General features: G+C 32.8%; 1 protein-coding gene across 4 annotated transcripts in view; it reads right to left on the reverse strand.

The window, feature by feature from the left end:
• Positions 1-17548, reverse strand: part of LRP1B (LDL receptor related protein 1B) — a 1899594-nt gene that overhangs the window by 260778 nt on the left and 1621268 nt on the right. For all 4 annotated transcript variants that reach the window (NM_018557.3, XM_017004341.2, XM_017004342.1 and 1 more), the window contains 5 exons: positions 14596-14718; positions 10763-10903; positions 9487-9674; positions 3365-3548; positions 408-493 (listed from right to left, as the gene is read on the reverse strand). In NM_018557.3, coding sequence (NP_061027.2) covers positions 408-493; positions 3365-3548; positions 9487-9674; positions 10763-10903; positions 14596-14718 — 722 coding nt within the window. The remainder of the gene's footprint in view (positions 1-407; positions 494-3364; positions 3549-9486; positions 9675-10762; positions 10904-14595; positions 14719-17548) is intronic.

The following is a 17548-nucleotide window of genomic DNA, read 5'->3' on the forward strand; positions in this document are numbered from 1 at the left end:
AAATGAACGAAACTATTATAAAAAGCAGTGGAGGAATCTATCAATGAGTAACAAAATATTTTTAGGAAAGTAAATCTTCTTTATGTTGCTGAAAATACACCACAGGAATGGTGGTCTTCGTTTATACTTAAAACTGGCATAAACATACTAGAAAAATGAGAAATAACCTTAATTTTGGCACACTTGTTCTAGACAGTGCTTTCGCATATTTCTGTTACTATTACACAGTTTGAGGCAAAGATAAATTTGGAGCAGAACAGATACAAACTAAATATTTTCAAAGAAAATATTTCTCCTGACAACTAAAAATATGCTTCACAAACTCTAATTGCCAGGTAGTTCTACAGCTCTAACACATACCTAGTGCACATGTTAAATGTTACGGTGTCATCTTGGGAGTGTCATACCTGTTTTAAAAGTGTGTAGTTGGAGCCATCAGTGCTAATTTTCCTTATCTCATGATGATCAGCAAGAATTAAAAAAGGTTCTTCATCTAAACACCAACACAAATAACATATTAGACTTTAAGTATGTATGCTTTTCCCCTTTGCATAATTTCAGTTTAGTTTAGCAGCAATGTGATTTCAAATGCAGTGCTGATCTGGTAGCTTCAGGGTTTAAAAAGGATCATACTGAGCAACGTAGTTGGCAGTAGAATGAAGAGGCAGCACACGCCCAGGCAGTACAGAAAATTTAGAAAATTCTAAGTGCATCCCTTGCTTCCTCTCAATATTCTTGACATTCAGATAATTTATTCGGAATTAGTAGAAAATATCTGCTGTTACAATCTGATTGTCTGCATGAATTGCAGAAAAAGATAATCTTCACCTCTCTTAGAAACCTACAGTACAGCTAAAACATTCTTATGATCAGAAATTTTTTTCTGGATAATCAAGTGGCTAATGCTCTCAGGATGACCTCAGTGAAGACCAAGAGTATCACTGCATATATATATACCCTTTTACCTGCCTGAGGACTTGTCTTAAATAATTTCTGAACTCCAGGTTCTAAAATCTTTGTTTGTTAATTTTACCTTTCCTCATGTGTCTTTTTTTCTAATGCTTTAATAGTCTTTATTTCTACCTTATCAGCTTGTCCAATGTCTTTTAGTATCTCATTTACTTTAGAATCTGGGAAAGAGCGTGATAAAGATCTGAGCATTCTCAACGTACAGGAGACCCTCTAAACCACTAGTGTTTGGTTTCTCTTCAGAATTGATTTGGAAACAAAACGATTTCTTGAAGGAGAGAATTTCAGAAAGATTTTCTTTTCTATTTATTTAAATATGTATCTGGATAATTTGACGTCAATTTGACCACATTCTCAGTGGTTATAATCCTAGATTCATTTGGTGAATAATTTGCCCAAGCATTTTAACATCTTTTTTTTAAGACACATTCATAAACTTGTTTGCCAAATGAAAAAACGTAATGTTGATAGAAATTAGAAAAAAAAACACTAAAAAAGTAATCACATAATTGAATGTGGATTTTTTATAAATTATTTATTGTTATACCGTTATTGTCCTTTTTAAATTGTTTGAAATCATTATTTTTCTCCCCTTGTCTTTTAGTTTTGTAATTAATATGTAATACCAAAGGTATGACATTATGTTTCAGTATATACTATGTCACTCATGTTAAATACCCCCTTCTATCATCCTTGATGGGATCCCAAATTAGTCATTCTCATCTTCTTTTTGAGGCCAGACTGAGACTCAGAATACTTCTCAACACAGAATTGGCTCTCGAGTTGAAGGTGCCTTGCCACTCTGTCAATAGATTTCTCAATTATAAATATAAAATTAATCAGTCATGTTCTACTTCACTGCTTAGGCAATTCTGTTCTTTACAACTTAAATATATTTCATTTTTAAAAAATCTCTGTAGTGCAAGATTTATGCTTTAACAAGCATAAATGCTTTAAGAACACATTTTTATATTTAAAATTTGTATGAGTTTCTAAGTATAATTGCTAATAATAAACAACTATGGTGTGGATACATAATGTAACAAGACCCATATTTTAATTGTTACTATTCATCTCCTCTACACAATCCTTTATTAATGTTTAAAGTAATGGAAACATTGGTCATTTGTATGATTTAATCTCTTCTTTTTGTCCCAGGTCACTAAATGCATTATGTAGCAAGCATTAAGATGGTCTGAAGCAAGTAGATTGGTAGATTAAACAATGGGCTCCAATCCTGGTGAACACGGTGAAACCCCATCTCTACTGAAAATACAAAAACAAAATTAGCCGGGTGTGGTGGCGGGCACCTGTAGTCTCAGCTACTTGGGAGGCTGAGGCGGGAGAATGGTGTGAACCTGGGGGAGGCAGAGCTTGCAGCGAGCTAAGATCGCGCCACTGCACTCCAGCCTGGGTGACAGAGCGAGACTCCGTCTCAAAAAAAAAAAAAAAAAAAAAAATTGTCTCCAAATAATCCTCAAATTGATTCAGGGAAGGAAGATAAGTGATGGTGGAATGAAAAATTGAAAGGAGTTAATTTTTTTTTCTTCATAATGTGTAAAGTTTTAACCCATTAAAAAAACCCATATTTTAAAATTAATATCTCTGATAGCTATTTTATTAAAGTGGTTGAAAAAAACAGCTAATGTTTTAAATGTTGCCACTGACGAACATCTATTATATAAGAAACTGGCAATAATATTTGACTTATTATACTTAAAAACAAGCGGAATAGAGATGCCCTTAGTCACCATTTTTTTGCCCATTTAACAGTCATCATCATATTATTGCTTTGTATCATTTTAATATCTGTGATTTCTCTCCTAAAGAATTAAAGTTATGGGCCATGCTTTATTAAATGTATAATTTACAGGATCAAATACACTCCTTGGAATAAAAAGAAGTTTAACAATATTTGCTGAATCACTGGAAGAATTCAAATAGTCCTATATAGCTGATTTATTATTACTATTGTTGCTTCTTCTTATTGTTAACTTGTTCTCTCTAGCATATATGTATGTATGTATGGTGGAGGGGAGAATGAAAAATATTATAATAATGTCACAATAGTCTCTTTAACAGTTTTAGCCAAACTTGCTCCCAAGAACATGTGATTCAGCAGGAAGCAGTGCTAGAGATAGTTCTTTTTTTTTTTTTTTTTGTGGGCACTCTCAAAATCTAGAAAACACTCAATAATTCACAAGGCCATAAGGCAATGTTATTATGAACAGAGCATACAAAATCAGAGTGACAGATTCTCATATCAAGGGAAGTAGAGAAGAATTTTGATTTTTCAGAAGCATCAAGGAGGAGTGAATTCAATAAGAACGGCTATAAAATTCAGGATCCATATGTATAACTGAGGTTGGATCAGTGGGCAAGTTCAATTCGATACCTGAGAGCGATTTGCAGCCATTTGGGTTATCAGGTTGTATTTCATACCCATCTGTACAGAGGCACTTGTAAGTCCCGTATGTATTGATGCATTGCTGGCTACAGGGAAAGCCTGAAGAGCATTCATCAATGTCTACACATGTTTTGCCGTCATCCTTCAGTTGGAATCCAGGCCAGCATTTGCACTGGGAAAAGAAAAATGAGCATAATCAATTCATATCATTGTCACTGTCTTTTACTTTTGGATATCTCTTTAGCATTAAGCAAGAAAAGCATTTGAAAATAGATAAAGGCAAGTCTTTCTGTCTCCCAGCATTTGACCTTTGATGGGAATTATGTATATTATGTAAAGTTAGTTAGAAAGCACTCTCCCAAATATCTTCATTTGATCTTTTGAAGTTGGCAAGATTGTAAAAGTTAATTGACATTGCTAAGGCCGTGTGGTTAGAGATTGGCAAGGCAAATAAAAAAAGAGTGAAACTTTCTACTTCTTTTCTTATTTTTCTATTGCATTACATTGTCTTTTTAGAATATTTTAGCAACTATAAGAATTAATCCTTACATGGAGTTTTGAAAATTTTTAACATTGTCACATATGTTATTTCATTTGAGCAGTATAGAAATCTCTAATGTAGATATTATTAGGTTGGTACAAAAGTAATTGTGGCTTTTGCAATTACCTTTAATGGCAAGAATCACAATTACTTTTGTACCAATCTAATATTATCTTTAGTTAGTAGATGAGAAATCCAATAGCATGAAGATGGAGCTGTTTAGATAAGGCCAGTAGGAGATCTTGTACACACTGAAATTTTTAATACATAGTAATCCTCAATTAATATTTATTGACTGTGTTTGATTCCATACCTAGATATGTAGGTGTCCGAATAAACAGTAATATTAATGTAGATGTTTTTTATCTTAATAACTAAAACAATTTGTATCATATCTCTTTCCTTCAGCATCTCTATGATGTTTTATTTGTCCTTCTGATGACACATGATATTAACTAACTGGTATGTCAACTCATAGGCTACAAACATTATGCCACGTGTATTTTTTGCCTTCCTAAAAACGATGAGGTACTTTGATTGGTCATTGTCTCTCAGTTCTGTTCTCAGTCCCTGCCAGGTAGCATGTGAGAATTATTATTACAGAAAATGAACCTATACTTGGCCAGATGATTATGATCACAGACTGATTAGTTGTCTTCGAATAAAGGAAATTGTAAGTATTGAGTAGGATGTGAGTTAAGAAGGATTTCTGAGTTGTCAAAAGTAACTAGTATTCAAGAGCACTCCATAGTAAATATTTCATAATTTGGATAAAATTTATTTATTTATTTATTTATTTATTTATTTATTTATTTATTATCAGATAAAACTGATGGCAGAGCTTTGAATTTATTGATAAAGCTATTAGAATGATATATGTCCATATTAATAAAAAATCAGGAAACAATTTATGGTTAGAATTATTTTTAAGTACAAGAAACATTTTCAATACTGGGGAGGAAAGCATCCAAGTAACATCAATTTCATCTGAAATTAATTAAAGGATAAATCATTATTTTTCCCAATTCTGTTTACAAGAAATGAAACCCTTTAAGCTCTTGGCACTTTCATGTTTAACATTTGACACCAGCAATTTATCTAATAATGCTCAGAAATTATAATGGACTTTTAAAATCTCTATAACCCACTTAGCAATCCAGTGGATTAAAATGAAGGCAAAAGTCAGAGCTTGATTTCCCAAACTCCCTTCATTATATCTCACTGAGTGACAATATTACTTTCCTTGAGAAGATCCATCCTGCCACCAGGAGGAATTGGTACTTAACTATGGCCAAAGAAAATGGGCATACTTAATGCCATTAACTGTACACATAAAAAAATGGTTAAAATGATGAATTTTATATTATATCTTTTTATTCAATTTTGTTAAAATAAATATTTAAAAAAAAAGAAAATGAGAAATTTGACAGGGTAGTAATCCCAGATTGGCCTAAAAATTAAGCCAAGTGATTGTGTAGTCGGAAGCCAGAGGTCCAATTAGTAGATACAGAGCAGTGTTGAATCAAGAGTCACTTTAGGACAAATGAAAGGAAATTTTATAGAATGTGTTGAATTCCTCTAAAACAGTATTATTAAATGAAACAAAGTGCATCACCATTTTAATGGGGTTTCTGAAAATCACTTTGAATGCCTCATGTCAGGTTTATAGAAGAAGTACTATATGAAATAGATGGCTTGGATAAAAACACACAATGGAAAATTAATTTCTGGAAGGTAAAATTGATTAATGTTACTATAATATAAACCTGTATCAACAAAAGTTTAAGATTTACAGTAAATTTTTTAAAATTTTATTTTGTTTGAAATAACATGTGTAAAAAGAAAATGTATTTCTCAATCTGTTAATCTATTTTAATAAAAATATTTTTGGTCTCAAATAATAAAAAGACATCTGCAGGAAATTCTACTCATTAACTTTCATAAATTCAATGGAAGAAAATAATAATCTTTTGCATTTTCAAAGACATTTTATAGAAAATAAGATTAGAATGTTCTCTTTCACTTAAAAAAGACAATTTTTATGAAAGTGAGAATTATATGTATTCAGCCTCATCTTAATTTTTCTCACCATTCCAAATTATTTAGAATCTTCTTGAGTTACATTAATTTTTATAAGAAAATATAGCTGGCAGAAAAAATAACTAAGCCTTTTCTATTTCTCTCAGGAAAATTCCTTTGCAGCTTTTCAAGTAACATGACAAATATTGATCATTTTATTTCTACTGTATACATCATCACTTTTTTCCCTCCCAGAAGTACATTTATTTTTACATGGTAAATTATCCTTCCTATCAAAATAAGATTTTTGCTTCAGTTAAATGTTATTACTCCCTTTTGAATAGTTAGATACATTCTATTTGTTTTACTGCAAACATGCAAATTGGCCACAGTCCATAAGGTCTAAATTTTGCTTTTGTAAGCAATTCTCGTTTTATTGCAGAATTTAGAGGACGATTTCCTGTCATGGTCTGCTTATATTACAAGGAGAAGTAGGCTGCTGGATAGTTTTCACCATTCTCTGAAACAGAGAAATCTATCAGCTCACGTAATTTTGCAACGTGGTAGAAGCATCTTGTTGTACATAAAGCTTTTTACTCAGTTTCCTATCAACAAATTGTCATATATATGACATATATTTGTGTGCATAATATATACATGTGTATGTATATACATATACATAAATATGAATGCAATATGTAAAATATTTGGTCTGAACCTTTGCTTAAATCTTTTATTTATGATTCTGGTCTCATCCTGAATGTTTGTACAAGTCATATTTCCATCAATAGGTGTTTTATATTATTAACTAGCTTTTACATGTTTACATACTTAAAAACATCATAGCAATTCTGTCTGATAACATATGCGCACACCTTGTGAAGGATTAAATACTTTTGTCTATTTTAACTAGAATTATCACTTCTTTCTACGGCTTCTTGAGAAGACAAAATGAAAACACTGGCATTTATAAAGTATTAATAAACAAGTATTTATGTGTGAGGAATGTTTCAAGATACTTAAAATAAGCATGAATTAACATGTGTTTCTGGATGATATTGTCTTCTACCAAAAGCAGTTTCCAAATATGGTATGGCTGTGTGCTAATACTTCTTATATGCAGGCATTTAAAATAACATCTAACCTTATTTTTGATGTCATGTCACAAAGTATATAATTGATATTCTATAGGTTTTATAATTTACTACCAAGTTTGTTATCATAGACATTAAATACACATGGAATAAACACAAATAAATCTACTTTGAAATGTATCACATAGAACAAACACACACACACACATATACACACACACAGACACACTCAGCCATGCATCAGTTAATGACAGGGATATGTTCTGAGAAATACTCTGTTAGGTGATTTGTCATTGTGTGAACATCATAGAGCGTATTTAAACAAACCTATATGGTACAGGCCATCATGCACCTAGGTTATATGGTAGAGCATATTGTTCCTAGGTTACAAACCTGTACAGCATGTTACTATATTGAATGCTGTAGGCAATTGTAACACAATGCTAAGTATTTGTGTATCTAAACATCTCTCACCATATGTTTAGAAAAGGTACAGTAAAAATATTTAGAAACGTTTAAAAAATATTTAAAAATGTTTAGAAAAGGTACAGTAAAAATAATTCTATAGGAACACCACTGTATAAGCAGCACATTGTTGACCAATACATCATTATGTGGTACATAACTGTATATATGATAGAACTAAATAATTATTTGTAATGGTATGACTTAAAATTTTAATTAGTTACCTGCAATCATTCTAAAACACATTCCCTGATGAATTCAGGAAAGATTTCTATGTTAATTGTACACAAGTGATCAATAACATTTCTTTTCTGCTTCACTGGTTTTTAAAATATTTACTGCCAACATTAATTATCTGATGCATGCTCATCTCATTAAAAGATGTACTGGCTCACTTGCTTTCTTTCTTTCTGCCTGTAATATATTGTTTATGAATGAGTTCATATTCTAAGTTTACAAGTTTAACCACTTCTTAATACAATATTGGGTCTAAAAAACTTTTAAAAATATATATTTCTTGGTGTTTCAGTTTTTAATCTCTAATTTTTGCAGGAATTTATTATTGTGGTTCTTAGATTATGTCTATATACAGTAAAATCCTAACCAACCTAACCATGTAGCTAAGTTAATAATACCAGAAATTCAGAACTTAAAAACAGCAAATTGGTTGTTTAGTTGAATTTACTGTTAGATAGAACTGGCTTGTCATAGCATGCTAAGGCTGGCAGGAACAATGGCCCCACATCTTTGCCATACAACAATTGTCTACCATCCTTTAAAGAAAGTCATTTAGCCACTGCAGAAACACTTTCATTGGTGATGTGTGAGGTGGTTCATTCCAATATGAAGTGTTCTATCATTAGAAACTTCTGCCTTGTATTGAACAGAAACTGCTTTCCAACTCTTAATTCCGATCTTTTAAGCAACTCAGATTAAGTATGTTCCCTATTAGAATCCTTCATATACAGTATGTGAATACAGCTAGCAAATCGTCTTTGCTCTAAGCAAAACTTCTTCTGAAGATGTGCTCCAGACTCTAATGCTTCTGGATATAGAAATTTGGATACACTCCAATTCGTCATGGTTTCCCTTGATAAAATGCTGTGTCCATACATGTGCGCAGTACCCCCGGGCAGAACTCGGTAGAACAAAATTTAAACCCTGTAATGGTCCTAATTTTCATTAGACTGCCTGTGTTGTTTATACTAGTTATGTCCTATTGAAGATTCATACAGAGTTGTTGCTCCATTAAACACACTAATTTTCAAAGGAATTGCTCTTATTGAGGTTTTTCCACATTTACAAAATTGATTTTAACCTAATACACAACGTTGCATTTCAACATTGTGTTAGTTTTGTCCGTCATTCCAACATACTGAAACAGAGTTGGTTTTAGAAGCTATTTCTGTCCATCGATTCTGTCAGCGAATCACCCTCTTCAGGGAAATGGTACTTACAATCAACAATTAGGATATTACATATGGTTTATTTTAGTGTATTCACACTAAGTCCTAATAATTCATAGTTTATGGATTTTTTATGTCCTAATAATCCACAGTTTATGGATTTTATGTTTGTATGAAAAATATTCCATTATCCAGTGTTGTAGTAAATGATTAGCCCATTCCACTTCGAAGATGTACTGAAGAGAGAATGAGGGAAGAAATGGAAACTTAAGAGTTAAATACGTATTTATACAGCTATTAACATAGCAGTATTGTCTCTGATCACTAGTCTTCCCTGGTTTATTTATTTCCTTTATGCTCCAAAAATGTAGAAAAATGCTTCAATTTTATTTTTGTCTTCTTAACTATATTCTCACAACTTTTATATCACACTACTATTATGGTATCTTCATATCGACACTCTCCATTCAATTCGTTTTAATATTATGATGGCTTTTAACTTTTTCATCTATATTGGATTAAATAGCTTTCTTAACCTCCAATTCTAATGTATCGTATGATTTGCTACTTTTGATGAGTACCTACCTTATAACTGACCGGAAGGTCTTGACAGTCTTGAGAACATCCACTGACTTTCTTACTCAAACATTCATTTATATGGCAGTTTCTCTCATCTGAACCATCGCCACAGTCATCCTTATTGTCGCAAAGACCTCCACTGGGAATGCACCTGCCATTTTTGCACATAAAAAATGAACTGTTGCATGACTGTTCTGGAAAAAAAATAAAACAAATGGAACATAAAGGGCATGCCATTGTTTTATACTACAGTTGTTGAAAACATTCACAAATATCATTAACTCAGGTGTCAAAAATCATAATATAAGTTTATATAAAATCTTTTACATATTCAGTATAATATCTTACACCTAAAGTTCAGAAAACCAAGGGCAAACTGTACTTTCATGTTCAATACTTATTGCAAATATAGCTTGATCATGAAAATTAATTATCAAAATAAACATCCATAGTAAAATTAATGAACTATTTCTGCCTCCTCTATTTTGTGAAGAATGAGTTCAAAAGTTTAATGATAGTTTGACAATTCCCTCAAGCCATAGGTCTCTGAGAAATTATATGTCACTAAAAACTAAGAATCTAGAATAGGTAGATATTCCTAAATTCTTTTCTTCCTGGAAATATAACATTGACATTTTGAAGTCAGGGTATAAAACAGATATCAGTGGTGAATAATAGCTGTTCCAAATACAGCTATGGAAAATAGCTGGATGACTTGAACAATACTCACCATCATACATGCTAAAAGAAAGCCCATTATCATGTAAAGTCCATGAGAAAAAAATTATTTGAGTATATTCTGTAATATGTGATTATATATTTAGCATTTGGAATAGAGAAGTGATAAACAGACCAAGTTTTTAATATATGTATATTCAAATGATATGCAATGTTTCATCTTGCCTAATTATGAATAATACAGACTACTTCACAGTAAATTTTAACTTTTTTGCATTTGAATTTTCAAATAGGCCAATACAGTGAAATTATTCTTATATAAAATAATATATGAAGATATAATGAATTTTTGGCAGTGGGGAAGACAGGATGGTGAATTCAGCAGTACCACTGCCTCAAATCTTTATATTTTTGGCACAGACTTAAATTTCCAAAACTAGCTTCTCACAGAGTCAATTACTAGTACCCTGCATGGTGTCACTAGAAACATCACATGCTTAATAATTTGCATTTTCTCTCATTGAATACTATACTAGACAGAAAATCACAATTTTTCCATTGAAAACACTTTAGAGTAAATGCGGTATTGTATATATTTCTGTACCTGCACTTTTACACTTTGGGTTTAAAGGTGCTTCATCAGAATGGTCAGGACAGTCAAAGTCTCCATCACACTGCCATTGAGTATTTAGAAGACACCGCCCATCAGCACAACTAAATTCTTCTGTACCACACTGTCGATATCCTAGAGACGCAGAAAAAACATTTGACTAATTCACATAACAAATACTAATTGAAACGTCATCTCCTCAATGTACACTACACCGGATTAATGTGGATTACTCATGTCTCCCATGAGAAATATTTCTCATTTCTTTCTGTAACAGTGGTTATAGTTGCAAGAGATGTTTGTGGTTTGGAAGTAGGAATATGGTCCAAAAACTCAAGTTGGAAACTAACATTCTTATTATTTCAAGGTGAAGAAATAAGAAAGTGACCCTTGACTATACCATTTCTCTTCACCTATTATCTAGATCATAATATCTCTTAGAATGGAAAATGAAAGTGAAAGCTATTAGAATTAGCTTGGTTAGGTATAGTACCAGAACATATGGATAAACTGATTCTGAGCTATAACGATAATTCTCAGAAGCTCTGATATCATGTTTATGTTTAGAAAGCAGCACTCAAAGTGTAAAAACATTGTTAAAATGAGAAAAATTTAAAAGTCAATTTTAGAGCAATAAGCACAAAAACTATTATAATTATCCTACATCTTGATTCTTAGAGTCACTAAAAACTTTATTCAAATTACAGAAAAAACATCATTTGGTAAAAGTTCATATCTATGCCTATTTGTAAATACAACTTATTTGATTTTCAACATTGTTTTATAAGAATTTTTTCTAAGTTTGTCAACTATAAAAACAGTTATTCCTAGTAGAACTTTCTGATAAATATGGGTAAATGCTCTGTTTTAAGTGGGAGGGGGTAAGATTTTTATGGCTTAAGAAATAAACACAATTCCAACGGAAAATATACTCAATAATGAATATTTAATTTAAATTATTATCATATTGGAATGGTTAAACTAGATAGTTCTAAAATAGCCTTAGCTACCCTAGTATTTCTTCGCTCTCTCTCCTCCTTCATTAGTTCCTTCTTCTCATTTAACAAATACAGTGAAGTCTTATCCAGTCCAATAACAATAAAAATCTATACACCTCTTATCAGCACATTTCTTGTCTCTTTATTGCCCAATCTGGCTTCCACTTACTTGCCTGCAGTTCATCTCTGATCAATCAACATTTCATTTCTCTGACCTCTATCTTCTGAAACTCCTCTTAGAGATAACAAACACCAAGTGCTAAGTGTCAAATTCTGGATCTTGTCCTCCTATTTACTTCACCTTTTAGCAACATTTTATGTTTCTGACCACACTACCTTAGAAAGAGTTTCCTGACTTAATAATATTCACAGTCTACCTTCCTGGACTTCTTTCCAACTTTGATCTTGCTGTTCCCTTCTTTTCCTTCTGTATGAAATCCTCTCCTGTTCCATTCTAAAATATTGCCAGGAAAGCCCTAACTTCAATCTTCAGTCTTTATTTTCCTGCCAGCTTTAGGCTGATGGGTAGAAAATTAATATTACTTATCCTCGTTGTTCTTCTGATCTAGAATTAAATTATCACACAGTCACTATATAGCTTTATGTGATTGTCTGATTAACACCTCATATTCAAAAGATCCACAATAAAGTCTTTATTACATCTCACATCTTATTGACAAAATTAACCCTTAACCTCTTGTATCCCAACATTCATTAACAGCAGCACCAATCACCAAGTCATCCAAGCTAGAAATTCCCTTTTATCCTCCATGTCCTACTGTAAATGAAGTCTGACACATTCTGTACCTTCCACTCCACCATTCCCAACCTCGTTCAAAACCACGTCATTAATCATCAGAACTATCACAATAACCCCCTAACTAGTTTATTTCCCTCTATGGCTCCTTTGCTCCATGGCAGTATTTCTCCCACTCTGGTGAAAAAATATGGTTCCAAAACAAAAATGTGACTGTAACATTTCATTCTCTTGTTTCAAAATGTACACTGGCCTCTGAGAGACAAAATAATTAAATACAAATTCTCTAACACTTTATTTCAGCCTTTTTCAAATCTAACTTCATCTTTTTAAATGTCCACTTACCTAACAGAAGACTAATTGCTATTCCTCGACCATCTCAATTTACAGTCTTTGTAAACACATATAGAATTTACTGTTCCTGAAACTGCTCTAAGAACTTTACAAATATAAATTCATTTAATTCTCTGAACAGTCCTAACATTTAAGCCTTTTTATTAAACATACTTTACAGATGGAAAACCGAGGCCCAGGGAAGTGAAGTGACCTTTTCAAGGTCACATAGCTAGTAAACAGAAGATCCAGGACTTGAACCCAGGCTCTCCAGCTCTGGAGTTCATGCTATTAACCACCACACACCACGCTCTCTAGCATTACACAGGATTTCCTCTTACTAACATTCCCTGCTTCTATTCTTCAGTGCCTACCTCAAGAACGATTCTTCTCAGCTCTGATCTCATTGTGATTCTTGTTTCTATTTGACATAATATGTTATTGTACTATATTGAATTTCTGTTTTTTCCATTCATCTGTGACTTTTCCAAGTGGGGCCTCTCTGTCTCATTCATCTCTGTATCAACCAAATATAATGTCTAGCAGAGGGGAGATATTCAATCAGATATAACTCTGCTTCAGATTTATATCTTGTGTTATGATGTAGCCTTTAAAATATCACATCAAATGTAAGACTTCACGCTGAAATAATCATAAAAACTGATATCCACTAATTTCAGTGAGATTCATATCAAAGGCCAAGGCTATAGACGCTGCACAGGGAGAACAAAGGCAGGCACTAAATCTGTTGCCTTCTATGAGCATATATAAAGTTCACAGCTTTTCATTACATATATTTATTCTTGTCTATGCATTCAGATATTTTACGAAAACATTAAGTTCACATTACAGTTAAACTTCAACTGAGCATTTTTAATATATTGATGCTATCATTAAAGTTGTAGGTTGTATAGATATTATATATAACATAGAAAAATATATGTAAAGGCAATATACATTTCATGATAATAATATTAAATTTTATCAAATCATTGAATACATCAAAACATAAAGGGTAGAAAAATATTAAGTATCCGGCTTTTCTGATAATTCTGAATTATGTTTTTTTTACTCAAATATTTGATTTGGCTATACAACTGAACAAGCCAGCCATATACTGTCTTCAAATTTCAAGTATTTCAAAATACGTTAAACCAAAGACATTTTTAATTTTAATTTTAATTTATTTATTTATGTATTTATTTTGAGATGGAGTCTCACTCTGTCACCCAGGCTGGAGTGCAGTGGCATGATCTCGGCTCACTGCGACCTCTACTTCCTGGGTACAAGCAATTCTCCTGCCTCAGGCTCCCGAGTAGCTGGGATTACAGGCATGGCCACCATGCCTGACGAATTTTTGTATTTTTAGTAGAGATGGGGTTTCCCCATGTTGGCCAGGCTGGTCTCGAACTCCTGACCTCAGGTGATCCACCCGCCTCAGCCTCCCGAAGTGCTAGGACTACAGGCATGAGCCACCGCACCCAGCCCAAAGACATTTTTATAAACATTTTCCAATATTACTGATGCAAATATACTGCAAACAGGTATGATTTCCAAAGAAATGTATTATACTAGAGCTTAAATAAGTTATATGTGCTGTGATTGTGTATTACTGAATTCACTGGGTGTTGATGACACTAAGAAATGTGTTGCTTGTTGCTTTAGTTTTTTATTTACATACTAGTTTTGAAAGACTCTTAGCCTAGGAATCTCCTTCATGAAGTTTTAGATGTACTTACCACACTGCGGTGACTCATCAGAGCCATCTCCACAGTCGTCATCATGGTCACAAACAAATTGCTTGGGAATGCATACTTTATTATGGCACATGAAAGCATTTTCATCACATGTATTATTGGGAGCTAAGAAAGGCATCACAAAAAATAAAGTTAGATGAGCACATATGTTATCTTCCCCTATATTAGGAGCTTGGGGAATATATAAAATCATATCCAATAATTCATAGTTACTGAGAAAAAGAAAACTTTGCATAATATTCAATACATCAGATAAGCTAATAATTGCATATGTATTTATATTAGAATGTCTGAATATAAATACACATAATTCAAGGATTTAGTATTCATGAATTCAACTATTCCAGAGTGACCCTGAATTCAAGCCATGTAGCGATTTTAAATTTGCTGAAGGATGAATTCAAATGTTCACATGTTAGAAAAAATATCTCAGCTAATAATATTCTAGGCTTTTTTCCTTTACTTATGCCTACAGTAATGCTGGTAAAGTAATAAAAATGTTGTTTCCTTGTGAAAAATAGACTGGTAAAGAGCAATGCTAATGTTCATAAAGGAAGTGAAAAGAAAACTAAGAAGGTTTAGAATGTTATTGTCTTTAAAAAAATAAAATAAAACTTTTTGGTGACTTCTAGAGTGGGGTGTCCAATTAGGTAAAGGTAAGATCTTTGATGTCATCAGCCCCTCCGTAAGTACCACACAAATGAAATGGAATATTGACCCTTTAGGAATATTGATCCATGAAAGCAATGTTCCAACAAGTGGAAAAAATGGTTGATCCAAGTGATCAAAATTTCAGCAAAAATTCAAAAGAACATAACTAGTGCAGAGAAAGAAAAAATTAATACCATACGCATAGAATCATAAGAGGTTTGCAAGACTCATTTAAATATTTTCAGTAATCTTTGCATATATTTAAAAGGTAAATGCCATGTAGGACTCAAGGTTTGGGGTATTGCAAATAGCAATAATCCGCTATATGCTATTGTAGAATGCTGGAAAGAGAAAGACTTTGCAGAAAGTGGCTGTGGCACTTATATTTGTATCCTTAAGGAAGCAATTTACCTTCTTGGTGCATCTGTTTCTTTATCTGTTTAATGGGGATAATAAAATGTATCTGATACATTTCTTATAAGGGCTAGATAATGTATGTGAAGCAGATTTGGCTCATTTTAAGTATTTAATACATGTCTAGGTGCTCTTTAAACTCCTATTTATATAATAATTATTTTTGGCAGATTCCTCAAAACAGTTCACTACAATATTGTGGGAATTCAATAATGCAAATAACAGCAACAATTACAATAATTGATATGTAATGGGTACTTGAAAAACTTAGGTGCCTTCTATTTCCCAATTCCATGTCTTAATAAGCACTTTTCTCTACATGAAACACCTTTCTCTTTCTTTGTCCCTCAAGACTCAGATAATATTATCACTTTTTCTTGAAATCATTTCCTGAGGCATTTTACATATTAGTAGGATATTTTACATAATATTTCTTTGTGATTGACATAGTATATTTTATACACATCACTTTAACACTTAAGATACAGGTATTATCATTATTCTTTCACATTGCCTATAGCCCCCTCTCCCCAGACTGCCCCAGGCTCCATGAACAAATAAATCTCTCCCTTTATCTCAGAAATTATTGACATAGTGTAGGTAACACATAAGGGTTTTTAAAATATAATCAGGCATAATTTACTTTTAACAAAGATTTTTTTAAAGCTGTATAGAAGCCACATAGAAGTAGCATGAACAATTGCCTGTTGTAATCAGAGTAAAACTCTGATTTTACTAACTCCTCTTAAATTTGAACTGTATGCCAGCTTGGATAACTCAGGTGAATTACACCAATTCCGATACATGGATTAATCTTTAAAACACTGAGCAACAGTGACTTATTTGGCTTTAACACTTTCAGATCACTTGAGTACAATTTGCTGCATTTTAACGGAATGTACTTAATAGTACCCTTGTGGTACAAACGTGTTAATATGCCTCCCAGAGTGTTAACTTGCTACAATAGCAACAGCATACTGGGACCATCTGGATCCCTGAATTGATGCATAATCCTTTATTATGTAGCCCTCAGTGGCCTCATTGACCTTTACAGACACACATATCAGTTTCAAGATCAAAGTGAATTATTCTACAACAATAGTATGAGTTCTGTGCAAATAGGTCTGCCTCGAAGTTTTCTTTTTTCTTTTCTACTTTAACTATTCCTCACGTACATACCCCTGCACACACACACACACACACAAACACACACACACACACACACACACACAGACACTTATATTATGGCTTCAAATACAATGCTTTAAAGATGTGAAGGCAGGCCATTGGAGAGATGACTGACAGAACTCATTTTAACAAGCGGAGTTCGCAGCATTATTTCTGACAAATTGCTCAGCCCAAAGGATCCCCTATGTGACCTTGGGATCTGCATTCAAATATTCAGTCCCTTTATCCTCCTGATCATGCAAAGGAATTCATCTAAATTTTTACTGTTGAGTAATGCCCTGAAAATTTCCTGAGGTGACTTAGAGTCAGAAACTTAGTAAATTGTCTGACCTCCGAAGGTGCTCCTCTGATCCCTCAGCTTCATTCGGCTATATCCATACTATTTTTACATGACCCAAGGGTTAATACCCTATCCATAGGACTAATAGGTGTTTACTGACCTCCTGATCAGTAGTTATTTAGGATCAGAGAAGTCATTCACAGAGTCTCTGTAACAGACAATCTAAAAGCCTTCAGAAGGATGGTGGTGGACGACGCAAAAGAGAAAGTACCAAACCTACTGCACTCGTACACATAAAGTGCAGTTACATTAGCTGAGAAGTGAAATGATAAATCTGTGTTTATCAAAGTGGTTTTAAAATGGGTAATCCGACTGTGCATGTTTGAAACATTGAACAGTAGT

The sequence above is a fragment of the Homo sapiens genome, chromosome 2, assembly GCF_000001405.40.
Source record: "Homo sapiens chromosome 2, GRCh38.p14 Primary Assembly".
NCBI classification, from domain to species: domain Eukaryota; kingdom Metazoa; phylum Chordata; class Mammalia; order Primates; family Hominidae; genus Homo; species Homo sapiens.